The sequence below is a fragment of the Homo sapiens genome, chromosome 17 (assembly GCF_000001405.40).
Source record: "Homo sapiens chromosome 17, GRCh38.p14 Primary Assembly".
Lineage (NCBI taxonomy): Eukaryota > Metazoa > Chordata > Mammalia > Primates > Hominidae > Homo > Homo sapiens.
The window spans coordinates 47,730,781-47,758,242 of record NC_000017.11 but is presented as its reverse complement, the minus strand read 5'-3'; the positions used below and the strand labels follow the sequence as shown (position 1 = coordinate 47,758,242).

The 27,462-nt window shown below is 47.5% G+C and overlaps 1 protein-coding gene across 1 annotated transcript, besides 8 other annotated features; it reads right to left on the bottom strand.

The window, feature by feature from the left end:
• TBX21 (T-box transcription factor 21) lies at nucleotides 12,121-25,007 on the bottom strand. The gene is made up of 6 exons (NM_013351.2): nucleotides 24,298-25,007; nucleotides 15,479-15,633; nucleotides 15,051-15,172; nucleotides 13,890-14,048; nucleotides 13,700-13,761; nucleotides 12,121-13,495 (listed from the first exon to the last, which is right to left on the bottom strand). Exons 1-6 carry the CDS (start codon nucleotides 24,786-24,788, stop codon nucleotides 12,877-12,879), a joined length of 1,608 nt encoding a protein of 535 aa, NP_037483.1. The 5' UTR covers nucleotides 24,789-25,007; the 3' UTR covers nucleotides 12,121-12,876.
• Nucleotides 24,219-24,268: an enhancer, noted in NCBI's record as "active region_12316". NCBI's record gives its function as "activates an Ori minimal core promoter by ATAC-STARR-seq in GM12878 lymphoblastoid cells {active_cell/tissue: GM12878}" and the evidence as "EXISTENCE:reporter gene assay evidence [ECO:0000049][PMID:35858748]".
• Nucleotides 24,449-24,618: a silencer, noted in NCBI's record as "silent region_8640". NCBI's record gives its function as "represses an Ori minimal core promoter by ATAC-STARR-seq in GM12878 lymphoblastoid cells {active_cell/tissue: GM12878}" and the evidence as "EXISTENCE:reporter gene assay evidence [ECO:0000049][PMID:35858748]".
• Nucleotides 24,649-25,188: a silencer, noted in NCBI's record as "silent region_8639". NCBI's record gives its function as "represses an Ori minimal core promoter by ATAC-STARR-seq in GM12878 lymphoblastoid cells {active_cell/tissue: GM12878}" and the evidence as "EXISTENCE:reporter gene assay evidence [ECO:0000049][PMID:35858748]".
• Nucleotides 24,649-26,999: a biological region, named in NCBI's record as "TBX21 promoter region". NCBI's record gives its function as "regulatory_interactions: TBX21".
• Nucleotides 25,000-26,999: a promoter, noted in NCBI's record as "2 kb promoter fragment". NCBI's record gives the evidence for it as "EXISTENCE:reporter gene assay evidence [ECO:0000049][PMID:16713975]".
• Nucleotides 25,044-25,100: a protein binding site, noted in NCBI's record as "SP1 site cluster; -101 to -44". NCBI's record gives the evidence for it as "EXISTENCE:protein binding evidence [ECO:0000024][PMID:17705132]".
• Nucleotides 26,289-26,315: a protein binding site, noted in NCBI's record as "-1514 site". NCBI's record gives the evidence for it as "EXISTENCE:protein binding evidence [ECO:0000024][PMID:22258560]".
• Nucleotides 26,768-26,794: a protein binding site, noted in NCBI's record as "-1993 site". NCBI's record gives the evidence for it as "EXISTENCE:protein binding evidence [ECO:0000024][PMID:21272048]".

Genomic DNA, 27,462 nt, shown 5'->3' with positions numbered 1-27,462 from the left:
ACCCAGGAGAGACTCTGTGGCCCTGGTGATGTTCAAGGGCCTCCTTGGAGAGTGTTGTCGGCTCTCTGCCAGCTACTGTCGGCCTCACAGGCTTGGTTCCCATCTAGGTGAATCCATTTAGACATCTCCCTTTTTAAAAGACGGTCCACTGTTACTCCAAAGTCAAAGCATCCATCTAAAATATATGCCCACTGCTTCTTCACTGATCTGAAATCCTAGTATTGAACATGAGAAGCAAACAGGGCTTGGCTATGACCCTCCACTTCAGACTATGATTGTGGTCCTCACACCCGGCCAGAAGCTTCAATTGTTCCCTCCCACTTTGAACTCCACAATTGGAAATGGGCTATAGGCAGAGCTTTGTGAGCTTTTGCTACTCATGTGGAACCTACACCAATACTTCAGCAAGACCTAGGAATGGCAGGGTCAACCTTTGATAGGTCAGAAAATAATTTACACAGGGATAAAATGAGGATGTGATCTCTGTCTCTCCACCCCCACAGCTTTTCGTTTTGTTTCTTAACAGTGTGATATTAGTTTGGGATGAGCTGGATCCATGTCCTCCCACTATAGGAACAGACTGTGCAGCATCTTCATCCTCTTACTCACAATGATGTGATTTGCTTATTATGACTGGGAAGGGATGTCTTAATTGAGGTTCTCTTAGTAGTTCCAGACTCCCACTCCAAACTAAAGGAAAATTGTTATCACCACATGGAAGTGACTCAAGGGACAAAGAGAGGAAGTTAAGTAGAACTTTAAAGGGAACTGGAACCAGGAAATTCTCTTTCACCCTTACTCTCATCTTGCTATCACTCAATCTCTTCTTAAATTTTATTCCTCTGTCTCCTTGCATATCTTCTTCTACTCCAACTCCACGAACCGTATTCTCTGCCTCTTCATATACTTGGCTGACCTGTTGCAATGCAGTGCAGACAACTGAAACTCAAGCACCACCCCAAAGTAACTAATGACTCTCAGCCTCAATTATTTCATGTATCAATGCACTTTCAATCAGTTATGATGCGGATGAGGTGGGGCAGGGTCACGTCATATAAACATGGCCTTCCGAGCCTTACCCCTGGAGGGAGGAGGGTGTGGGTGAAGTTTTCAGAAAGGAGGAGTATGCCATATAATATCTATTATTTTGCCCAAAAAAGGTTACAGTTGGACTATTTTTTGAACTGATATATAGCTGGTAATCCCACATAGTCAGTTACCTCTTCAATTATATTGACATGTTTAAGACCCACCCAAAAAATTTCAGGTAACTATTCAGCATATTAAATGAAATAAAATAAATCTATTAGGAGAAAACTGAGATACAAAGATACAAGGCCAGGATGAAGGAAAAATAGATGAGATAAGACAAAATTGAAAACAAAACTAAAATCCAATGGCAGAGCTTAAACTTTCAATGAAGACTCTAAAGAGCACACTTGAACTGGGGGAAAAACCAAATCAGTGAGGTGAAAGGCCATTTTGATATTGTGTGTGGCTGAACATGATTCAGCCATGTATCCGTGCCACAATTTCTTTTTTTTTTTTTTTTTTTGAGACAGAGTCTCGCTCTGTCGCCCAGGCTGGAGTGCAGTGGCGTGATCTCGGCTCACTGCAAGCTCTGCCTTTCAGGTTCACACCATTCTGCTGCCTCAGCCTCCCAAGTAGCTGGGACCACAGTTGCCCGCCACCACGCCTGGCTAATTTTTTGTGTTTTTAGTAGAGACGGCGTTTCACCGTGTTAGCCAGGATGGTCTCGATCTCCTGATCTCGTGATCCACCCAACTCAGCATCCCAAAGTGCTGGGATTACAGGCGTGAGCCACCATGCCCGGCCCACAATTTCTCTTACATCACAGAAGAATACTTGTTATATTAGGATATGACCACAGTCAGTTGTGTTTTTTCAGATGTTTTCTGAAGCAGTTCCTGCATCCCTTTTCCCTATCTGGAAAAACCAGTGGTAATCTAGGTATAAGTAGCTTAGGCAGGCTGGGATTTTTTCTGTTTGTCTGACTGAGAGAGTCTCACTCTGTCTCTCAACTTTAGTGACACTAATGCTAATAAGTCCTGATAACCCAATACCATCAGACCAGCCCCCAACAGTTACTTTTATACCCAGCTGTTTATAACTCTTGCCATATAAACTCTTACAAAATATGGCATATTAAGAGATAGCTGTAACCACAGACACTCAGAAAGGCATTCATGTAAATCATAAGTACAGATATTTATCCTTCTGGATCACTCTCTCCTTAGAAATTAATCTTCAGCCATCCCCAAGTTAATATGCCACTACTAAGATAACTTTGGAAATCTCTCCCAGAGGACAGAATATAAAGTCAAAAAATGAAAACTAAGTAATAGGAAGAGAAACAAAGGCCGGGTGCAGTGGCACACGCCTGTAATCTCAACATTTAGAGAGGCCAAGGCGGGCAGATTGCTTGAGCCCAGGAATTTGAGACCAGCCTAGGTAAAATGATGAAATTTTGTCCCTACTAAAAACACAAAAATTTAGCTGGGCATGGTGGCATGTGCCTGTAATCCCAGCTACTTAGGAGGCTGAGGTGGGAGAATCACCTGAGCCTGGGAAGTCGAGGTGGCAGTGAGCTGTGATAGCGCCACTGCACCCCAGCCTGGGCAACAGGAGTGAGATCCTGTCTCAAAAAAAAAAAAAAAAAAAAATGTCGGGCGTGGTGGCTCACGCCTGTAATCCCAGCACTTTAGGAGGCCAAGGCAGGTGGATCACAAGGTCAGGAGATGGAGACCATCCTGGCTAACATGGTGAAACCCCATCTCTACTAAAAATACAAAAAATTAGCCAGGTGTGGTGGCGTGGCGGGAGCCTGTGATTCCAGCTACTTGGGAGGCTGAGGCAGGAGAATGGTGTGAACCCTGGAGGCAGAGCTTGCAGTGAGCCGAGATCGCGGCACTCCACTGCACTCCAGCCTGGGCAACAGAGTGAGACTCTGTCTCAAAAAAAAAAAAAAAGAAAGAAAGAAAGAAAGAAAATGGAGAGAAACAGAGGGTTGAGATCTAGTCGAAGAGTAATGAATGTCTCTGAAAAATAAATACTAGCTGGATAGGAGGTAATCGGAGACAAAATAGAAGAAAACTTGTCTGAAATTTGGGGGTGTGGGGTAGAGAAAGAAGAAGGCCAATCCATGAAGGCTGAAAAAATGTACCAAGTTCCATTCAAAATTGATGAAGAGTGTTTAGGTTAAAATTTGTATATTTGGGCCGGGCGCGGTGGCTCATGCCTGTAATCCCAGCACTTTGGGAGGCCGAGGCGGGCAGATGACAAGGTCAGGAGTTCGAGACCAGCCTGACCAACATGGTGAAACCCCGTCTCAGCTAAAACTACAAAAATTAGCCGGGCATGGTGGTGCGCACCTGTAATCCCAACTACTCAGGAGGCTGAGGCAGGAGAATCGCTTGAATTCAGGAGGCAGAGGCTGCAGTGAGCCGAGATTGCACCACTGCACTCTAGTCTGGGCGACAGAGCGAGACTCTGTCTCAAAAAAAAAAAATTGTGTATTGGTTACTAAAATGATAATATAGGAATTTTTCAAATGTATGAAACCACAGGAACAAAGAGAACAGCAGAGGAAAAGGAACCAGACAATACATTTCAACAAGTTTTTGGAAACTAGAAAGCAGACGGAGGAGTAGTGCATGATTAAGCAACATGGAGCTATAGCCCACAGTGTCTACAAACAGGATTAACAATGAGTGAACTGATTTAGCCCGAAAGAATGCTTAAGAGGCTCAGAACTTGGCACAGTGGAAGCTGGGATTGAGGCATGGTACTGACAATTGGTGGATTGGCTAAAAGTCTGAAATCAGATGTATCAAGATGCCCATGACTGCTTCCCGCCCTGAGCAACAAAATAACTATTTCACTACCACTACCACCTAGAAGTATAGAGTGTCATTCTAAAGAAAATGAAAGAAAAAGACATGGGACTTGGGGATACCAAAGACAGTGTCTAGGAAGGGTGAGGCAAAGCTGGAAGAAGAAAATGTAAGTGAAAGCTTGCAAAAGAAAAAAATTAGCCCCTCGGTTTCTCTTCTCATATTTCACTCCTACAATATTCTCCAGTCAGCTGGTAAGAAATTTGGAAAAGTCTCTTTAGGAGAACTCATATCTCTACACACTAACATTGTGGGGGCCCCAGCCTAATAAATCAGCTCCCAGTGGTGTGGTAGTAAACCAGCTCTCTGGGAGGAAGTATGCTCTTGCTTGAAGAATTTTTTGGCCAGGAGTTCAAGACCAACCTGACCAACATAGTGAGACTTCATCTCTAAAAAAAAAAAAAAAAAAAAAAAAAATTAAAAATATGAAAAATGTTTTTTAAAAAGGAAGAGAAACTTTCTTTCTTTTTGAGACAGTGTCTCACTCATTCGCCCAGGCTGGAGTGCAATGGTGCAATCTTGGCTCACTGGAACTTCCGCCTCCTGGGTTCAAGCGATTCTCCTGCCTCAGCCTCCTGAGTGACTGGGATTACAGGCATGCATCACCACGCCCGGCTAATTTTTGTACTTTTGTAGAGACAGAGTTTTGCCACGTTGGCCAGGCTGGTCTTGAACTCCTGACCTCAAGTGATCTGCTCGCCTCAGCCTCCCAAAGTGCTGGGATTACAGGCATGAGCCACTGAACCAGCAAGGAAGAGACACTTTCTAAGAATGAAGAACAGCGTTTCTGGGTTGATAGTTCTCATTGGGTGTGCCAGAATAGCAAATGAAAAAGGGCTTCAGACCAAGGTATATAATACAGAATGTTTAAAACACTGGGAAGCAAGAGAGGATCTAAAAACCTACCAAAAAGGATCATGAATCAAAATGGCATCAGACTTCTTAAGAGCAATACTAAAAACTAAGTGACAATGAAAAAAATGCTTTAAAAATTCTGTAAGTAGGGCAGGTGCGATGGTTCATGCCTGTAATCCCAGCACTCTGGGAGGCCAAGGCAGGTGGGTCACTTGAAGCCAGGAGTTCGAGACCAGCCTGGCCAGCATGGTGAAACCGCATCTCTACTAAAAATATAAAAATTAGCCAGGCGTGGTGGCGTACACCTCTAATCCCAGCTACTCCAGTGGCTGAGGCAGGAGAATCACTTGAACCCAGGAGGCAGTGGTTGCAGTGAGCCGAGAGGGCACCATTGCACTCTTGCCTGGGCAACAGAGCGACTGAGACTCCATCTCAGGAAAAAAAAAAATCTGAGAGTACTATCATACTGGTCTTTAAGAAAAAAAATTCTGAGAGAAAGTGATTTCAACCTAGACTTTTATACTGGGTCAAGCTATCACTCACATGTGTAAGTAAAATAAAGACATGTTAAATACTCAGAAGTGTTATTGCCTAAAGACTCCTTGAAGATTTTCTTTAGCAAAATTTAATAAACAAAGAAAGAAGACCACCAAGCAAGGAAGAAGGCAAACCCACTATCATTGAGAATCAGAAGAAACAACAGATTTAGACAACAACCCTATCATCACCCCCTACAAGGACAGCAGATGTTGAAAATACAGAATAGCTAGGTATAGAATGTTTACAAAAACAAATAATGCAATTATAAGGATAAACATGGTTCACACCTGTAATCCCAGCACTTTGGGAAACCAAAGTGGGAAGATCGCTTGAGCCCAGAGTTTAAGACCAACCTAGGCAACATAGCGAGACCCTGTCTCCACACACACACAAAAAATTTCTTTTAATTAGCTAGGTATGGTCGTGCATGCCTGTAGTCCCAGCTACTCAGGAGGTTGAGGTGGGAGGATGGCTTAAGCCCAGGAGGTGGAGGTTGCAGTGAGCCAAGAAAGTGCCACCGCACTCCAGCCTGGGCAACAGAGCCAGACCCTGTCAAAAAAAAAAAAAAAAAAGACACCCATCTGATTGGAGTCCTAAAGGATGAAATTGGAGAGAATAGAAAGAAGCAATATTTAAAGAGATGATGACTGAGAATTTTCAGAGCTCATGAAAATGATGAATGCAAAGATCCATGAAACACAATGTATCCCAAATAGGATAAGGAAAAATAAAATCATGCCTTCTCACATCGTAGTGAATCTTTAGGGCATGAATATAAATAGAAGATCTGGAAAGCAGAGAAAAAACACAGAAGACCTAACAAAGAATGATAATTAGAATAGCAGCAGATCTCACAACAATGAAGCCAGAAGACAGTGGAATTACTCATATAAAATGATAAGAAAAGGCTGGGTGCAGTGGCTCATGCCTGTAATCCCAGCACTTCAGGAGGCCAAGGCGAGCAGATCACTTGAGGTCGGGAGTTCAAGACCAGCCTGGCCAACATGGTGAAACCCCATCTCTACTAAAAATAAAAAAAAAAATAAAAAAAATTAGCCAGACATGGTGGTGGATGCCTGTAATCCCAGCTACTCAGGAGGCTGAGTCAGGAGAATCACTTGAACCTGGGAGGCAGAGGTTGCAGTGAGCCGAGATCGTGCCACTGCACTTCAACCTGGGTGACACAATGAGTACGACTTCACCTCAAAAAAAAAAATAAATAAATAAATAAAATACTATTCACCCAAAATTGTGTATTCAGCAAAACAATCACTCAATACCAATAGGGAAAATGATAACATTTATAAGAAACAAGCCCAGGGGAAGTTTACAAAGAGAACTTCTCTAAAAGAACTTATAAAGGATTTAAAGATATAGGTAAATGATCCCCCAAAAAAGAGAAATGCAAAAAAGGGAAAATGAACAAAAAGAATGGTAACATAAAGGTAAGTCCAGACAAAGCATAGTCTCAATAAAATAATAAAGGAGTCTAATTTTTAGGGGTTAAAAAAAGAAAGAACTGAAATGAGTAAGTTGAGAGGAGAAAAACATGAATGAAAAAAGGTTATTAGAATGGCTACTAAAATGATAATATAAGAGTTATCAATAAGTCAGAAGAAGGAAGTAAGTTTTTATTAGTAAGTCAGAAGGAGGAACAGTAAGTCAGAAGGAGGAAGATCAGAATTAAAGTGATCTAAAATTATCTTACTGACGAGAAGGGAGGATAAAACATCATTCATTATTAAATATACTTATTAAAATGTATAGATAAGCCACTAAAATAAATAAATTATAGAAATGCAAACAAGTAAAAGGAAAAAAAAGTGTAATAAATAGGGGAAAACTGAGCTGAGCATGGCAGCTCACTCTTCTAATCCCAGTGCTTTGGGAGGCCAATGCAGGAGGATCACTTGAAGCCAAGAGTTCAAGAGCAGCCTGGACAATATAACTAGGCCCTGTTTCTACAAAAAAAAAAAAAAAAAAAAAAATTTTAATTAGCTAGGCTTCATAATGTGCACATCTGTAGTCCTAGCTATTTGGGAGGCTGAGGCAGAAGCATCACTTGAACCCAGAAGTTCAATGCTGCAGTGAGCTATGATCACACCATTGTACTCCAACCTGAGTGACGGAGTGAGACCCCATCAGAGGTGGGGTCAAAAAATAGTGAAAGAAACCATCCCCCAAAAGACAAAAAACCAGCACTTGAGGTTATGACCAGTCGAATAAGATAAGGAAAATAAATTAGAAGCATAATGATTAGAAACAAGGAAATAAAACTCTCATTTTTTTTACTCTCTTTTTTTTTTTTTTTGAGACAGAGTCTCGCTCTGTCACCCAGGCTGTAGTGCAGCGGTGCGATCTTGGCTCACTGCAAGCTCCGCCTCCCGGGTTCATGCCATTCTCCTGCCTCAGCCTCCTGAGTAGCTGGGACTACAGGCGCCCGCCGTCATGCCCGGCTAAAACTCTCATTTTTTCAAATAATATGATTGGCCACAGAGATAGCTCTAAAGAAGTTATAGGAAATTCCCCCAAAATAATAAAAGACTTTAGCAACATGGCTGGATCTCATGATCAATATACAAAAATCAATTGTAATTCTGCAAACTAGTAACAAACAGCTAGGAAACATATATTTTAAAATATGCCTTTTACAGAGAAAAAAAGAAATACCCAAGAATAAATTTAACAAAAGATATAAAAGTCCTACACCTACAAATTGGAAAACTTTGCTAAAGAACCTTAAAGATGACCTAAATAAATGAAGAAATATCCCATGTTCATGCATAGAAAGACAATATCACAAAGTTATCTCTTCTCTCAAATCGAACAATAGATTTAGTCCAACCTCAATAAAAATCTCAGTCTGGTTGTTATGAAAATTTCCAAGTTATTATATATATCATATAGAAGGGCAAAGAGCTAGGCATAGTCAAAGCACTTCAGAAGAAGAAACTTTAAAAAGAGGACGTTGCTCTACCAGAAGTAGTATGTGAGACTACTACCATGGGCAAAAGAAAGACTATTCAACAAAAACAAACAGGAAAAATTGGAAAACGAAAACAAAAATGAATCCTTCACACCAAACACTAAAAGGAATTAAATGTCAAATGCAAAACTTCAAATCCTATGGAAAAAAAAATACAGATGAATATCTTTCTAACCCTCAAGCAGAAAAAGTTTTCTTAAATGAGACAAGGAAAAGTACTAACTATAAAATGTTGGCCAGGTGTGGTGGCTCATGCCACCCCAACACTTTGGGAGGTCAAGGCGAGAGGGTCACTTGAGGTCAGGAGTTCAAGATGAGCTTGGGTGACATAGCGAGACCTCATCGCTACAGAAAAAATTTAAATTAGCCATGCATGGTGGCATATGCCTGTAGTCCTAACTACTGGGGAGGCTGAGTGGAAGGATCACTTGAGGCCAGGAGTTTGCAGCTGCAGTGAGCTATAATGACACCACTGCATTCTAGCCTGGGTGACAGAACAAGACCCTGTCTCTTAAAAAAAAAAAAAAAAAGTAAAATTGTTAAATTTAGCTACATTAAAACTACAAATTTTTGTTCATCAGAAAACCACTTTAAAGAAAATGAAAAGAGGAACAATAATCTAGAGGAAGATAATTGCAATATAAATAACCAAATAATGGTTGATATCAAGTCAAGAATATATAAAGAACCAGAACCAATGAGAAAAAGACAAATACTCTAATAGCAATATGAGCGAAAGATATGAACAAATCATTTTACAAACCTATGATTAGAAAACATATGAAGAAAGGCTCAACCTTACTACTGCTGAAAGAAAGAAAGAAACTCAACATGTTCTCTTGTACATTACTGGTGAGAGTGTAAATTGGTAAAGTAATTTGGCATTCTCTTGTTAAATTGTACATTCACATACCCTACCCATTTCTAGATACAGACTTGACTTGAGAAATTTTAGCACTTGTGTGCCTGAAGACACATTAAAAATATTTTAAAAACTGTTCATAATAACAAAAATGTGTAAATTGTCAACAGGAAAATAGATAAGTAAATTATAGCAAACATACACATAGTGGAATATCATAAAATAGTGAAAAATGAATGAAATACATAGCTACCTGCCACAAATGGATGAATCTTAAAAACAGTGTTGAGTCAAAAATCAAAACATATATGTGTGTATGTATACATACACACACACACATATATATTATTTTATAAAGTTAAAAACAAGTAAAACTACATAGCATAGTAGTTAGACTTACATAAAGTGTTAACACTTAATTTTAAGAAGCAAGAAAGGGGCTGGATGCAATGGCTCATGACTGTAATCTCAGCACTTTGGAAGGCCAAGGTGGGAGGATCTCTTGAGCCCAAGAGTTCAAGACCAGCCTGGGCAACATAGCAAGACCCTATCTCTACAAAAATAAAAATAAAAAATATAACAAATAAAAGGCAAGAAAAGCAAAACACAAAATTAAAGATACTGGTTATCTATGAGGGAAAGGCAGGAGATTAGATGGAGGAAATATAGTTGTGATATTATTGGTGTTTAAATCTTGAAGAAATATCTTGAGTTGTGTGGTATTTAGGTTATATATATTATAGATATATGTGGTATGTGTATATATACACAGTATATACAGTAAAAGGTACATCTAATAGTGAAGAAATAATAGTAATGAACCTTTATGAGTCAAATAACACCACATCAAAACATGCAGTCAGACTTCTAGAAAAGATGGTAAAGTATGGCTTGATCACAAGTCACTTAACTTCATATCTAATGAAGGGAGCAAAAATCATTTTTAAATGGTGAGCGAAAAGAGTATTATAATTATCAACCACAGTTCCTCCAAGAAAGGAAATAGACCCAACCCATTAACTTTAGAAAGTGACAGCCACGGGGTAGGAGTAGGGGGACAAATAATCTGAACTCACAGAGCACAATGTGGCAGATCTCCTGTCATTTACAAAATTATGAGATTCCAAATTCAAAGGAAAGGGAGCCAAGTATGCCACCGTATTTTTTCCTTCTAACTAGAAGGTGCCTCTGAGTAGAGAGCAAAAAAGGATGGGATGTGAACTGTGACCAAAAAAAAAAAAAAAAAAAAAACAGGTTTTCCAGACCTTAAACAGAACTGGGAGAACTACCCAAAGCCCATGATGATGTTTCCCCATTAGAATGGGGTGCACCCTGGACTGTGGTGGGGCAACATAGTAACTCTAACTTCTTAATGTTTCCTATAAGCACCTGTCTTAGCCTGAGAGTGTTCTTTTAGAAACTATTTCTTGCCTGGGCACGGTGGCTCACGCCTATAATCCTAGCACTTTGGGAGGCCGAGGCAGACAGATCACGAGGTCAAGAGATCGAGACCATCCTGGCTAATATGGTGAAAACCCCGTCTCTACCAAAAACACAAAAAAAGCCGGGCGTGGTGGCACACGCCTGTAGTCTCAGCTACTCGGGAGGCTGAGGCAGGAGAACTGCTTGAACCCAGGAGGTGGAGGTTGCAGTGAGCTGAGATCGTGCCACTGCACTCCAGCCTGGGCAACAGAGCGAGACTCTGTCTCAAAAAAAAAAAAAACCAAGAAAATATTTCTTGTAGTGAAGAAAAATTTATCTTAAGTTTAGCAACTCCCTTCATTTCACTTGAGAGTTTGAGAGGTTTTGCTTGTCTTGATGTGTGTGTGTGTGTGTGTGTGTGTGTGTGTGACTAAATTCTATAAGCTAAAATTTAACCATTTTCATTAAGAAAAAGCCTTTTCAGTATGGTTCCAATTTATAAAACTATTTCTGTCTAACCCACCTAATGTTAATGATAATTCTTGATGGGTAAGATTTGAGATAATTTATTGTTGTCTTTATACTTTTCTTCCTTGCTTGAATTATTTAAAAGAAGCATGTATAGGCTGAGTGTGGTGACGCACGCCTGTAATCCCAGCACTTTGGGAAGCCAAGGTGGGTAGATCACCTGACGTCAGGAGTTCGAGACCAGCCTGGCCAATATGGCGAAACACCGTCTCTACTAAAAATACAAAAATTAGCCAGGCATGGTGGTGCACATCTGTAATCCCAGCTACTCAGGAGGGTGAGGCAGGAGAATCACTTGAACCTGGGAGGCGAAGGTTTCAGTGAGCTGAGATCGCACCATTGCATTCCAGCCTGGGCAACAAGAGCAAAACTCTGTCTCAAAAAAAAAAAAAAAAAGTATGTATTATTTTACAAACACAATTCAGTGTGTATAAAAAGACAGACAGAAACAGCTAGAAACTGTTGGTAACAGTAGCTTACACAGTGAGTGCTTACTGTTTGTCAGGCAATGTTCTTAAACCCTTTACATGTATTAGCTTGAGTCACATAAAATTGCTAATATTTGGCTTTTCGACCTACAAAAATGGTAATTTCACATGGCTCATTTTATATTTATTTCTTTAATCCTTGAATAACCCTAGAGATAAAGGTGGAGGGCTGCTAGAAATGCAAAGAAAAATCAAGTGCCACCGCCTCACAGCGCCCTGCACCCCCGCTCCCAGTCCAGCCCTTGGCCTTGCCCTCACACCCCTCCTTTCAATGTCAGGGTGCACACAGGGCAAGGGATTCTTCTCTGTCCGTCCCAAGATGCCTTAAGAGGTAGCATCAACCAACCCCCTGAGTGCTGAAGGTAGGACATGTGGCCTTGCTGTAACTCAGCTGGAGTCATTTCAGGGTCTTAGCAGGTTCCCCATAAATGAAAGCTGACAGAACACCTTGGGTACACCAGCTTGGGTACAACCCCAACTGAGTCCCCATCCATGTCCCCCCATGCTGGCACTGAGGCAGGCACATTCAACAGTTTTATGTTTATTTTCAGAAAGTGATGAAGACAAAAGGAATATATCCAGACACCACTCTCAGTACAATAAATAGCCTCCCCCATTCAAAAAAAATAAAAAGAAAGAAAAAGAAAAAACACACACCCACACACAACCACCACAAACAATATCTTGCTTCTTGAGATGTGGGCCATTCCCCCCTTTCCAGCCCCTTTTCTCTGATCCCCACTGTGTTTGAGCAGGGGGAGCCCAGGCCAGCTGTCCAAAGTCAGGTGAGTCCTTTCCCTGACCCTGGCGGGCTGATGGTTATAACATACGTGTATTTGTTCTTTTTGGATCAGGGATTAACACACATGCCAACGAAAAGGTTGAAAGTTACTGTACAAAGGAAGAAAGTGGAGTCTCCTGCTCCCATGTCCCACACCTGACCCCTCCCACCCACTAGATGCAAAAAGCTCCTTCATGCCCAAGACTTTCTTGTCTTCTTTTCTCCAGCTGGAAACCAAAAGCAAGACGCAGCACCAGGTAAACGACTGTAGTTAGGGCAGAGGATGGGGCAAGGGGACACCCCTCTCAGGTTTCATCGTGGGCCAGGAAGCATCTGGTGAACCCCAAAATCCTTCTTGAGCCCCACTTCCCCAACCAACTACTAAACAGAGAAGGGCCAGAGGGAGCGGGGGCCTTCTCAGTCCTTCATCCGTTTCCCAAATTAGTCGGTGTCCTCCAACCTAATAACACTGTTTCTGTTCCTTTCATCATGTCATCTGCTCAGTTGGGAAAATAGTTATAAAACTGTCCTTCAGCTTCCTTATCAAAAGGAGAAGGGGCCCCAGCAGGGGAGGAGCTGTCACCACTGGAAGGATAGGGGGACACGCGCCTCCTCTTAGAGTCTCCTTCGCCCAGTCCTGAATCACTGGATTCCGGCCGGATGGGGGCAATCTCAGTCCACACCAAGGGGGGACCCTGGTCCTCTGGTCCCCGTCCCTCTGAGCCTCCAGGGCCGGGTTCCATGGGCAGAGTCCGCATAGGGCGGAACCAGCTGGCCGGGCCCATCTTGGGAGGGTACTGGGGTGCCACAGGCCAGCCAGCTCCAGGTGCCAGGACCTCCTGGCCTCGGTAGTAGGACATGGTGGGCCCAGGGGCAGAGGGCAAGAATGCAGGCTTCATGCTGACTGCTCGAAACTCAGCCTCATAGCTGTGGTCCCGGGGGGCCCCCAGCCAGTAAGCCTGGGGAACCACATCCTTCGCCTGGCCAGGAAGGTCGGGGTAGAAGCGGCTGGGAACAGGATACTGGTTGGGTAGGAGAGGAGAGTAGTGATCTCCCCCAAGGAATTGACAGTTGGGTCCAGGCGGGGAGGGGATGCTGGTGTCAACAGATGTGTACATGCTAGAAAAAAATAGAAGGCAAGAAAACGGGTCACAAGCAGAACCAGTCACCTGTGAGCCTACCTGTTTCACACATTCCTTCTCCGACCCTCCTTCCCTGGCCTGCCCACCTGTAGCATCTGTCCCCCACCCTCCTGTTTTCAGGGGCAGGGAGAGGATGTGTCTCAGGAGGGACCAAAGCTGAGTTGAACCCAGTGGCACTTACGACTCAAAGTTCTCCCGGAATCCTTTGGCAAAGGGGTTATTATCAATTTTCAGCTGAGTAATCTAGAGAGAAGGGAAATAGAGTCACCTGAGTCCTGAGTCTGGGGCTCGGGAACTTTCCAAATCCCTCCCAAGGAAGACAGTGGGCCCCACTCTGCCCTCCTCCCCACCGGGGCTCAGGCAGCCCTCACCTCGGCATTCTGGTAGGCAGTCACGGCAATGAACTGGGTTTCTTGGAAAGTAAAGATATGCGTGTTGGAAGCGTTGCAGGCTGCCTCTGGCTCTCCGTCGTTCACCTCAACGATATGCAGCCGGGGCTGGTACTTATGGAGGGACTGGAGCACAATCATCTGTAGACAGAGCAAGACGGTTGTAGGGGTGGGGAGGAAGGATTTCGAGGATCCCATCACCCCCACCAACAGCTGGCCCCACGTGAGGCTAGCAAGCACCTTGAGGTCATCCTGTCCATTCCCCTGCTCTGCCACCATGTAACTTCCCCCAAGCTTTCCAACTCCAGTGTCCGGACTCTTTGGGGCACCAATTCTAGCCTCTTGCCCCCTCTTCTACCTCCAGATGTCAATTGAGACCAAGGTATCAGCACAAACAGGGCTTTAGGGCAAGGGCACTTTTTTTTCTTTTTTCTTTTTTCTTTTTTTTTTTTTTTTGAGACGGAGTCTCACTCTGTCACCCAGGCTGGAGTGCAATGGCATGATCTCAGCTCACTGTAACCTCTGCCTCCCGGGTTCAAGCGATTCTCCTGCCTCCGCCTCTTGAGTAGCTGGGATTACAGGCACCCGCCACCATGCTTGGCTAATTTTTGTATTTTTAGTAGAGACGGGGTTTCATCATCTTGGCCAGGCTGGTCTTGAACTCCTGACCTTGTGATCCACCCGCCTTGGCCTCCCAAAGTGCTGGGATTATGGGTGTGAGCCACCACACCCAGCCAGCAAGGGCACTTTTAACAGGATTGTTCAACCTAGAGAAACTCGGCATCTATTCCCTGGGACCACAGGGCCAACTCTGTGCCTTTCATGGTGCCGGAGCAATGGCAACCCATGATTTGGTGAAGAAACCCTGAGGCTGGGTTGGCCTGTGTGGCCTGAATATGACCCCCGTCCAAGATTCAGCTTCATCCCATCTCATCTTCCTCCCAAGGTGGGTGAGAAACAGCCAGAGTTTAGGAAGGAGGAAAAATGACCCTTCGTTTAGGACAGAAGAAAAACGAACCTTCCTTCCTGTAGGAAGGAAGAAAAAATGAACCAAACTGGCCCCGCAGGACCCTTGTGGCCTTGGAGGTCTCAGACCCAGGGTGGGGAGCAGGGCGAGGCTACCTTTTGAAGAGCAGGTCCTACCTGGGTCACATTGTTGGACGCCCCCTTGTTGTTTGTGAGCTTTAGTTTCCCAAATGAAACTTCCTGGCGCATCCAGTGCGCTCCTGTGTTGGGGGAGTCCGGGTGGACGTACAGGCGGTTTCCTGTGGACAGTTCACCTCTTTGACATGCAGCCCCCGGGACAGAACCCTGGTGATGTAGGGCTTTGCCTGTCCCGAGAGGGACGTAAGGAAGGACACAGGGGGAGGACCAGGCAGGGAAGGGCAGAGGACTCAGCAGAGGACAGGCTAGAGCAAAGCAGGAAGCCAGAAACAGGAGGGATGCAATGGCGTGGGATGGAGTGGGAGGGGGTTAAAGGTCTAGGAATTAGGGGTAGGGGCTTGGTGGGCCCACCAGGGGGCGCCCAGTCCCAGCGAAACAGAGCCCACCGCTCCCAGGGGCGCGCGCACCTGGCATGCTGCCCTCGGCCTTTCCACACTGCACCCACTTGCCGCTCTGGTACCGCCAGTGGTGCTGGTCCACCAAGACCACGTCCACAAACATCCTGTAGTGGCTGGTGGGCTCCAGCCCGGCCACAGTAAATGACAGGAATGGGAACATCCGCCTGGAGAGAAGAGAGAAAGCCCCCAGCACCCATCAGCTCCAGCTTGACAGCCAGTCCCCCCTGCAACAGTGCCCAGGCATCAGTGGTGTGCTGTAGCCGGCTTCCTCCCACTCACAAGAACCAGCTGGAAGGTGTTTAGGGAGTTTGCCAGCCAGTGGTTAAACACAGCCATAATTAAAAATTAAATTATATAAACTTGCAATTCAAGACATATTAACAGTCAAAGTAGGCCCGGCACAGTGGCTCATGCCTGTAATCCCAGCACTTTGAGAGGCCAAGGCGGGCGGATCACCTGAGGTCAGGAGTTCGAGACCAGCCTGGCCAACATGGCGAAACCCCGTCTCTACTAAAAAGTACAACAACAACAACAAAAATAGCTGGGTGTGGTCGTGGGCGCCTGTAATCCTAGCTACTCAGGAGGCTGAGGCAGGAGAATGGCTTGAACCCAGGAGGCAGAGGTTACAGTGAGCTGAGATCGCGCCACTGCCCTCCAGCCTGGATGACAAGAGCAAGTCTCCATCTCAAAAAAAAAAAAAAGGAGTAAAAACTAAAAAATCATCACTGCCCAGTTATTTTACGTTTTACTATTGTCTGCACTGTCGAGGTTACTTCCGTCTATCGCAGCTGCATGGAGGAGGTACTAAATCACAGTGCACTGTGAGTCTCTTCCCGGCTCTGTGTTCAATGACTCACATGAGTCGCTTGAAATCATCCATAGCAGGAGTATTTACACCACAGGGATCAGCAAACACTACAAATCAGAGTTTTTTAAAATGTTCTTTCAGAGGGTCAGTTGCTCGACATCTACCTGCACACCCCTGTCTCTAACCTTAGCTGCTTCCTAGGAGGGGGCACCACCAGCTCTCCACAGGCAGTTCCTGGAAGGTCCTCACGCCTCAGTTCCTCAGCCACCCTCTCTGCCGTGGCTCTCACAGTGCTAACACACTCCCAGACCCATGACACCCACTCACAGGCCCTCCCTCTCCCATGCTCCTGGGTCTGCCACCTGCGGTATAGTCTGCCCTCAGCCTTTAGAGAAGTTGCACACATCCTAGTTGAACAGGGAGCTTCCCATCCACCTGAAAGAAGGCTCTATTGAACACGGGGCTCATGTTCAAAGTCCTTGTTTCCAGGAAAAGTAGAGGAAGTTAGGGGGTGGGATGCTGTATGATTCCGCTGTTGTGCCAGAGTAACAGATTCAGAAAAGAAGCACTCTTCTACCATCACCATCTCCACCACTAACACCTTCACTAGCCCCGTCACCACCACCACTACAACCAGCACCATCACCACCAGTAGCACTGTAACCACCCATCACCACCATCACAACCACCGTCACTACAACTGCCCCCTCCACCATCACGATAACCACGATCTCCACCAGCACCAGCACGGGCACCACCATCTACAGCCACCACCTTCACCATCACAACCACCACCAGTAGTACCGTCACTACAACCACCACCTCCACCAGCACCAATTCCATCACCAGCTCCAATGGCTTAGCCTTTCTCTTCTAACACAAGCAGGAAGAGCAGAGTTTTCAGAATGGCAGAAGCTAATCCTCATCAGAATTATTTTTCATTTCCACACACTTCCCCCTCCTCTCATGAGAAGCCCTGAAGGATGAGGAAAAAGGGACCTATCTGAGTCAGGAAACCTGGAGGAGGGAGGGTTCCAGGGGCCTAGGAACTGTTTTTGAGGGACTTCTAATCCCCAGAGGTCCCCAGGACAACTTACCTAACAACCTTGGGAAGGTGTCCTAGAAGGGTGCTGTCACACGCCTGTCTTCCCCTGACTTTCCTGAGTTGAGAAAAATAGATTACTACCCTATGACCCTGGATAAGTTAATTCTCAAGCCAAATCTCAGTTTCTTTTTGAAATGGAGTTTCGCTCTGTCATGCAGGCTGGAGTGCAGTGGCGTGATCTCAGCTCACTCTAACCTCCACCTTCCAGGTTCAAGTGATTCTCCTGCCTCAGCCTCCCAAGAGCTGGGACTACAGGCATGTGCCACCATACCCGGCTAATTTTTGTATTTTTAGTAGAGATGGAGTTTCACGTTGGCCAAGCTGGTCTCGAACTCCTGACCTCAAGTGGTCTACCCGCCTCAGGTTTCCAAAGTGCTGGGATTATAGACATGGGCCACTGCACCCAGCCCAAATCTCAGTTTCTTCACATGTAAATGGAGAGTCTAACTCCTGTCCATCTTTCCTCTGAAAGCTGTTAAAAAGTTCGAAAGATGGCCCAGCACAGTGGCTCACACTCGTAATCCCAGCACTTTGTGAGGCCGAGGAGGGTGGATTTCCTGAGCTCAGGAGTTCGAGACCAGCCTGGCCAACATAGTGAAACCCCATATTTACTAAAAATACAGAAAATTAGCCTGGTGTGGTGGCATGCACCTGTAGTCCCAGCTACTTTGGAGGCTGAGGCAAGGAGAATCGCTTGAACCTGGGAGGCGAAGGTTGCGGTGACCCGAGATGGCGCCACTGCACTCCAGCCTGGGCAACAGTGTGAGACTCCATCTCAAAGAAAAAATAAAAAATAAAATGTTATTTCCAATTTTATATTTGAAGAAACTGACGCTCCGAGAGGTTTGGTGACGGTCCTCGGTGGGAGAGCAGAGGTGAGGTCTTCTGACTGCAGAGTGCATGCTGTGCTCTGTGGTCCCCATTTCTTCATATTCATTTTTTTCTTTCTTTTTTTTTAGACAGAGTCTCGCTCTGTCCCCCAGGCTGGAGTGCAGTGGTGTGATCTCGGCTCACTGCAACCTCTGCCTCCCAGGTTCAAGAGATTCTCCTTGACTACAGGCACCCAACACTGCGCCTGGCTAATTTTTTTTTTTTTTTTGAGACGGAGTCTCGCTCTGTTGCCCAGGCTGTAGTGCAGTGGTGTGATCTTGGCTCACTGCAAGCTCCGCCTCCAAGGTTCACGCCATTATTCTCCTGCCTCAGCCTCCCGAGTAGCTGGGACTACAGGCGCCCGCCACCACACCTGGCTAATTTTTGTACTTTTAGTAGAGACGGGGTTTCACCATGTTAATCAAGCTGGTCTCGAACTCCTGACCTCAGGTGATCCACTGGCCTCGACCTCCCAAAGTGCTGGGATTACAGGGGTGAGCCACCGCGCCAGGCCATACTGATTTTTTTTTAAGAGATGGAGTCTGCTATGCTGCACAGGCTCTGCTCAAATGCCTGGGCACAGGCAATCCTCCTGCCTTGGCCTCCCGAGTCACCCGAGCGGGGTTATAGGTGCTCACCACCATGCCCAGCTCATCCTGTTTTTATCACTAGTAGAGGGAAATGGAGACACAGGAAGAGGCTGGGGAAAAGGGAGAAGAGAAAGGAGATCTCGGTTTCTCCCTAAAAGTCTAGAATCACCACCAGCTGGAATCCCAAAATAGCCCCTGATTTACATGACACTTTGCTGGGAAGGAACCGAGAGTGGTGATGGGTCTGGTGTCAAATTGAGCGTCCCTAAAGGCCACTTACCATCCCACCCTCATAAGACAGGGTCCAAGACCCCAAATTCCTCTGCTGGCCCTAAGAACTAAGTAGCCTTGGGATGGTTCACAGGGTCGTCATACCTCTCCCAGATTCGGAGCTCCTGGCACAGGCTCTGCTTCACTGTAATTAAGTGCAAATTAAAATAGCAAGGAGATAGATAGTTCTTCTCAGTCATATTGGTCAATGTTTAAAAATTGATAATATTGGCCCGGCGTGGTGGCTCACGCCTGTAATCCCAGCACTTTGGGAGGCCGAGGCAGGTGGATCACCTGAGGTCAGGAGTTTGAGACCAGCCTGGGTAACATGGTGAAACCCCATCTCTATTAAAAATACAAAAATTAGCCAGGCGTGGTGGTGCATGCCGGTAATCCCAGCTACTTGGGAGGCTGAGGTGGGAGAATCGCTTGAACCTGGGAGGCGGAGGTTGCGGTGAGCAGAGATCATGCCACTGCACTTCAGCCTGGGCAACAGAACGAGACTTTGTCTCAAAAAAAAAAAAAATGTGATAATATCTACTGCTGATGAGGCTGTGAGAAAATGGGTCCTCTCATAGACTATTGGTGTGGGCGTAAATTGGTAGCACCTTTTGGGAGGGTATTCTGGCAATGTGTCGTACCTACCAAAGTACAAAATGTGCTTGGGCATCAAGGGAACTCCTCGTCTTACCAACCTCAGATCCACTTAATAGACTCAGACAGCCACTGGCAAACAGCCAGACAAAAAGCAAAGCTGCAGCCTGGGCAACATAGTGAGACCCCATCTCTACAAAAAATAGAAACAATTAGCCGGACATGGTGATGTGCGCCTATAGTCCCAGTTTCTCAGGAGGCTGGGATGGGAGGATTGCTTGAGCCCAGCAGGTTGAGGCTGCAGTGAGCCATAATCGCACCACTGCACTCCAGCGTGGGTGACAGAGCAAGACCATGTCTCATTTAAAAAAAATTTTTAATTAAAGTTGTTTTCACTTGCCCCAAGACAAATGAAACCAGTTAAGCATGCTTAAGCCTAAAAAAAATGTTTTTAGCTGGGCACAATGGCTCATGCCTGTAATCCCAGCACTTTGGGAGGCTGAGGCGGGAGATTGCTTGAGATCAGGGATTTGAGACCGCCTGGGCAACACAGTAATATTCTGTCTCCATAAAAAATAAATTAAAAAAAATTTTTTAAGATCTGAAAAGTTGGGCCAGGTGCGGTGGCTCACACCTGTAATCCCAGCACTTTGAGAGGCCGAGGCGGGGGATCACTTGAAGTCAGGTGTTTGGGACCAGCCTGGCCAACATGGCGAAACCCCGTCTCTACTAAAAATACATAAATTAGCTGGGCTTGGTGGCTTCTGCCTGTAATCCCAGCTACTTGGGAGGCTGAGGCAGGAGAATCACTTGAACCTGGGAGGTGCAGGTTGCAGTGAGCCAAGATTGAGCCACTGCACTCCAGCCTGGGGGACAGAGTGAGACTCCATCTCAAAAAAAAAAAAAGATGTAGAAAGTTATCGACTAAAGTTATCTATGTGGGAGGTTCAAGTCCACTTCCTGGCCCATGAAAAATATTACAAATAAAAAAATTAAAGTTCTTGGAGTTGGGAAAGTGGAGACAAAAAAAAATTGTAATGACTGTGAGGATAGCAAGGATAGTGTGGGACTGAAATTGTTGTTTTACCAACCTCTGTCTTCACATGCACAAATCCAAATGCAGATTGAGCTTAACACAACACAGCTACCCAAAGTTATCTTAATTATAATAATCAACCAATCACACCCAGAAAGTGGGGATTGCCAGCAATTAATACACACCCACACACCCACAGAGACACAGGCCTCTCTCTTCCTCTACTGAGAATGTCTACCATCAACTATTATATACTCGCCAACACATTCGCAACACACACACACTGCCACACAGAAACCCTCGCACAAGCCTGTGTGGGGCATTATCAGGCTGCCCCAAATCTCCAGACACAAACGTAGACACCAAAGTCTCCTACTGGGATAATCCACCGTTTTGTTCTCAGTTCCCCTCTCTCAGCCCCATCTGAGCTGCCTTGATCAATCTCCAGACCCAGGAATCACCCCCTGTGCCCTGCCCCATTTCTGCCCGTTGGGAAGAGCATGCCACTGGCGCTGGTCAATACCGAGGGATAGATCCAGGGTGGGTGGGAGAGGAAGAATCCGGGACGGCGTGAGTCAGCTCAAGGCAAAAAGCCGTGGGGCTGTAGGCTGTAGGTGGGCCTGAGGTGGGAGAACCTTTCAAAAAGGAAGAAGGTCATGGGTGATGTGGTGTGACTGGTGGGTCACTGGAACCCACGGAGGGATAGGCCAGCCCACAAAAGCAGGAAGACGGAAAGGAAGCTGTGCTATAAGCCCAAAAGCCTGTTTTGAGAGGAAATGGCCACTGATTTCCCAGATCTCAGGAGCCCAAGCTGAGAAGGTATGGAGGTAACCTGGGGCTAGTGGGACTGAATTGGGGTTGTGTGTCCTCTGTCCCCTCCATGGCAGCGTGGGGTCTATGAAGCCTGATCCAAGAAAAAGCACCAAAAGAAACAGTGAAGAGCCACTGCCTCCTTCAACAGGGACCCCGCGTATGGAGCCCCTCAGAATGGAGCAAAAAGTGTGAGGATTGGAAAACACACACACACACACATTTATGAAGCAATCAGAGAAGCTTGGTGATATTTAGGAAATTCTTTTCAGGTTTGCTAATGGTAATGCATTCATTTTAAAAAGTCATTTTTAGAGGTGCAGAGATAAAATAATATCTAGAATGTACTTAGTAATTACTATATTACTAATATAGTTGCAGACAGAAGAAGCGAAGTGAGGATGCAGAAACAAGATTGGACCCATATTGACAACTGTGGAAGCTGGGGATGGAAGTCTGTTACATTCTTCTGTCCATGTTTGTATGTAGTGGAATTTTTCATAATAAAAAAATGTAAGTGTATGTATCTAAAAGGGGGACAAAAAAACTTGTCAAGTGAGAATTACTCAGCAGGAACACCAAGGAAAGGAGGCCATGGGAGTAGAGATGGTGATACACACTTCGAGAATCATCCCCTCAAGTGCCTCCCTGAAGTGCTCTACAGCCTCCCTGAAGCTGGCTCTACAGGCAGAGAGGCAGCCCCCTAGCACTGGCCAACTCCCTAGAGTGCTGGCTGATGCTCCATCCACCCCATCCCTCAAGACTGGCAGGAGGAGGCAGAGGCCTGGCAGAGGCTGTGGGGAGACCCCAGCAAGGGCCCAGGGTGGGAAGTCCTCCTGACCACACAACAGAGTGGAAGGTTAAGAGGCCCCACTTCTGGTCTGCTGTGTGATGGAGTGCAAGCCCCTAGCTGACCCTGCAACTCAGTGACCTCAACTGTAAAATGGGGAGACTGCTTGGCCTACCTAACGCACAGTGAAATAATGGAAGTGAAAGCACTCTGAATGCATCAGGGCCTTCAGAGAGCGTGGGTGGCTGTTTTTACTGGTGGCCGTAGGGGGCCAGAGAAAGAAACCCAAGCAAATACTATCTGGGCTGTAGTGCCAGCTCTGCCTGCAATGAGTGTGTTGTGTGACCTTGGAAGAGTCTCTTGCTATCTCTGGGCCTGTTTCCCTGTCTGTGCAGTGAGAGGGACAGGATCTTCTGGGTCCCTTCCAATTCAGACACATTGGGACCAGAAGCTTGGGCTGTGTCTGGGTACACCCAAAGGGTGACTAGGGTTGGGGGGAGCAGAGAGAAATTATCAGAAGGCTTAAGAGATGAAGGCTGAGCCATCAAAGAACACGCCAACTTTCCTGGGTTCATCCCAGGGAAAGTGGAACAGCTCAGTAACTTGAAGCCAGTTGTGGCTGGCAACAGGTTCCCCAGTCCCAGGCTACCCCACAAAAATCATCTGGAGGGAAGAATGTTCCAGCAATGCCCAGATCGAATACCAACCTCTGGGGTCCAACATGGCCTTCTCCCTCTCCCCTCCACCCCAAGCCCCACGTTTGGTATCCACACCTCTCGGACCTGGGACCCAGCATCCCAGGTCCACCAATGACAACAGCCCTTCCACACTGGTCCTCGCTGGTCCCCTGCTCACATGGGCCGCACTGGGAAGGGTGGGTGCGCACAGCCCACATCAGACACAGTCCACTCCGGGGGTTGCTTACTAAACAAATACCACACAAGTCACAGGTTTCTGTTTCTTTCCTTGCGCAGGAGGCTCTATCCGGAAGCAGCACCCTCAGCCCCAAACTCTCCCCATCACGCACGGGGCTCAGGAACCCTGAGCCATGAAGCCATGGGACACCCCTTCCCCACTTCTCCAGGCTGAACCGGTGAATTTCTGGACAGGAGTGTGGGGAAGGTTTTCACTGGACCAGCCTCAAAGGGTGCAGTGTGGGGCTGGCTACCAGGCTGGACCCCTGGGTGAGCTTCATCTGCCCAGCCCGTGGGCATTTGTGCCTGGAAGGGATCTGTGCCCCCTACAAGCTTTACTGCACTAGCCCCCATACACACACACCCACACACACATACACACACACACACACACACACACACACACACACACACACACACACACACACACACCAGACATATGATCTCAAAGTAAGACCGGAAAGGAAACTTGGCGACTGCTTCTCCATGTCACCAAATCCCAATCTCCCCCCGTACACACACACCACCACCACCGCTACCACCACCACTACCACCACTAAAGCTGACCTGAGCACACCAGCAGCAAAGGAGCCGGGGGAGGTGGGCGCAGGGGGCCCGGAGATAAGGGGCTCCCTTCCCCTCCAGTTTCCCACACAGGAGGCCCAGGCGTCCTGTCCGCCCAGAGCACAGGCTTTCACTGCCCGCTGCGACTCCTCTACAGTAGAGAGTGGGGCAGGGGCGCACACCAATTCTAGGTGAAGCCACAGTCACCCTTCCCCTAAATCAAGGTGACTTCTCACTGTCCCGCACTCACCCGTCTCCCTTGTGAGTCCTCTGGCTGTTGGTGCAACAGCCTGGGCACAGACGCCCCTCCGGAGCTTTCCCTGTCCTCCTAACAACCCCATTCCCCTGTCTCCCTACGCTGAAGCCAAAGCAGTGAGGGACACGGAGTCAGAAGCATTGTCGAGCCAGAAAAACAGACGAGACGTTCTTGTTCCGGCGCGGGCACAGAGGCCCCAAGGGCCGGCGCGCCGCACTCACCGTCCCTGCTTGGTGATGATCATCTCTGTCTGGTGCTGATTAAACTTGGACCACAACAGGTGGTTGTTGAGCGCGACCCTCAGTTTCCCCGACACCTCCAGTCCCGCGGGTAGCGCGTAGTCCTCACGCGGCCCCGGGTAGAGCCCGGCGCGCGGGTCCGGGGCGGCGTAGCCCTCGCCCGGCTGGTAGCCCTCGGCGTCCGCGGGCGGCGGGAAGGACTCGCCCGCGCCGGGGAAGCCGGCCGCCTGGGGTCGCGGCGGGTAGGCGTAGGCTCCAAGGAAGCGGCTCGGCGGGGCGGGCACCAAGGCGCCCCCCGGGTAGGGAGACCCCAGGCTGCCGCCCCCGCGACGCTCGTCCGCGTCCTGCGCGCCCGGCTCCGGGTAGAAGTAGCGGTGCTGCGGGTCGGCGCCAGGCGCCCGGCCCTCGTCGCTCCCCGGCATCGGCTCGGTGCCCGTCAGCATGTCTCCGCAACCCGGCTCCACGATGCCCATCCGGGGCGGGCTGGCACCTTCCCGTAGCCGTCGAGGACCCGCCCCTCCGCGCGCGAGAGGGTCGCGTGGGCTGGGATGGGCAGGGAGCAGGGGGCGGGGGACCCGAGGGCCGGGTGGGGGACCCCACCGGAGCCCGGGCTCTGACGCCTGGCTTCTACGCCCTCGTCCGGCAGGCGCGCGGCAGCTCTCGGGCTTCCTCTCCAGCGGGCCGCTGTCACTAGAGTCGCAGCGCTTTGCTGTGGCTTTATGAAGCTCTCCGGCTCCCCCCCACTCCGCCACCTCGGCCCTGCTCCGCCTCGCCCCACCCCGCCCTCTCGTGGCTAATACTAGGCAAATTCTACGCTCTTGGCGAGTACTGCAGGGCCCCCCATGGTGGAGAGAAGCGAGAGCCTGCGCGCACCCTGTAGTTCGAAGATCTTGCTTTCTGGGAGTGTCAGCTCCGCTGCCTGACACACCAGCCCGTGGCTCTCTTCTGGACCCTCGGGGAAATTCAGCCCAGCTTTGAAGTCTCAGCTCAAAGGCCCTCTCCTACAGGAAGCCTTCCGAGATGGCCCAAGTGGGACTCGCTGGGCATTCTCCTGGCACTCAGAGGCTCGGAGCACGGGCACACTAGAAGCAACTTTGACCATGAACATTCAATCGATCTTTATTGATACCTACTGTGTGCCCAGACTCTGTGCTAAGTGACCTTTCGGGTTGCCCTCTTTCTCCCCACCAGAGGTCCACATGTGCTGAGTTGGCTGCATCTTGTAGCTCTAGCCCTGGGGGCAGACCTGGAACCTGATGGACAACAGGAAATGTTCCTTAAAGCGCACTGCATCAGCAGCAGCCAGGGGTTTGCAGGGCCCTGAGCTGGGCCTGGCAGGGCCCACAAAAGCTCCCCTACCCTGCATGGCAGTCATGGGCACTGGAAGTAGCATTGGGCTGCCAGTGCTGAGAGTCCCAGGTCTGGCTCTGCCTGCCAGGTATATGTGACCCAGGCAAGTCATTTTCCTTGCCTGAAAGTCAACCTCACGTGCCTCATCCATAGACTGGGGGAAATAAACAGATCTACTTTTCAGGGGGGCTGCAAGCCTTACATGAGAGGGTGTACGTGTGCAGCACTTTCCAATCTATTATTATACCTGGATGGAAAAGCTGCTTTGAACAGATTCAGAGCCGGCTGACAGGAAGGAAACCCACCACATGCTCTGAAGGGCTGCCTCGGAGATAGGACGATGGAGGCTTTTCTTTCTCCATTTTCCTTTTATGTTAACTAATGTATTAGACTCCTTTTATGATGAAAACTATCCGTTTCCCCCCCCCCAATTGAAAATAGCATCATTGGGAGTTTTCCTGTGTATAAAGATGAAACATACTTATATAGGAAATTTAAGCAGCACAGAAAAGTAAAAACAAGACTGTATAAATCACCCCAAATTCCACCCCCTAAAGCCAAACAGGATTAACATTTCAGTGAACACCCTCTGAGACCTCACTCCTTATATACTCTCTGTCTCTGTCTTTTGCACACATGCACAAATATATAATTTATATAAACACTACACATGCTGCTTTATAATGTGTACTTTTTTTTCACTCCACAAGGTGTCATGGAATATTTTGCATATCAGTATATAGATAAAGATTTACATTTTTAAGAGTACTTTGAAAAATACTTTAATATTTTTGTCATGTTAAAGTTTAACTTCTCCTCTCTCTACCTTCACCCCAGTCCTCCCCAGTTCTCCCCTGGGAACTGGCCCCAGCTCTACATTTCTGTCCCAGCCTGACAGGGCTTCACCCTTAGGGGCCTATGGGGACTCTCTGCTCCCAAATAGAGCTGAACCAAGAGGCAAGTTGGCAGGCAAAGGCAAAGCTGGGGACTCCAGGAGGTGGGCATGACCCAGGGAGGCTTGGGGGAGAGAGAATCAGCACATCTTTTGAGGTTGGAGACCGGATACATGACAGTACCAGAAACACAGGACTGGCCTCCTCCCCAACACCTTACCCACCATTTCTCCGTACCTTAAGGAACAGGGAAGTTTCTGCCTGATGTTCAAAGTGGGGCAGCATTGCTTGGAAGAGAGGGTGACCTTGGGATCCTTCACTACTTTTGGGGAAACATGAGAGCTTTCAGTAAGACCCTCCTGAATGACTGATTCCCTAGGAGATGTGAGACTGTTGAATGCTGACACCCCTTTGGGGGACATTTTTGCTCAGTGCTTGGCTGTTGAAGATCAAATGGAGTCTTGCTCCTCCCTCTCTCTCCCCCTCCTCTTTTCCACATTAATCCTCAGGTCAAGTGATTCATCCCCTTGCCTCTGAACAGGATGACATGAGCTCCCACCCAGCTTTCTGGGGCAGGTGGAATTATGAATCTCAGAATCAGGTGGCCCTGGGGCCATGCCTCTGGAGGAAGAGGAAGGCTGGGGGTGGTCTCTCTAGAACCTGACAGGCTGTTATAGGGTCTTACAGCCTGGTTCCTCAATCCCCGATTTCTCACCCCCTCTCTCCAATTTCTTCCACCCAAAAAAGAAAGTGCTTGTGAAAAGCGGGGGCTGAGTGGCCCTGGTGTCACTGCTGCCAGTCCCGCCCCTCTGCCAGCTTGGGTGAGAATAAGGGCCCTGGCAGTGACACCTTCTCCTCCAGCTGCCACCTCACCCTCCTCCCGGGCCCTGGGGCTGGAAAGGTG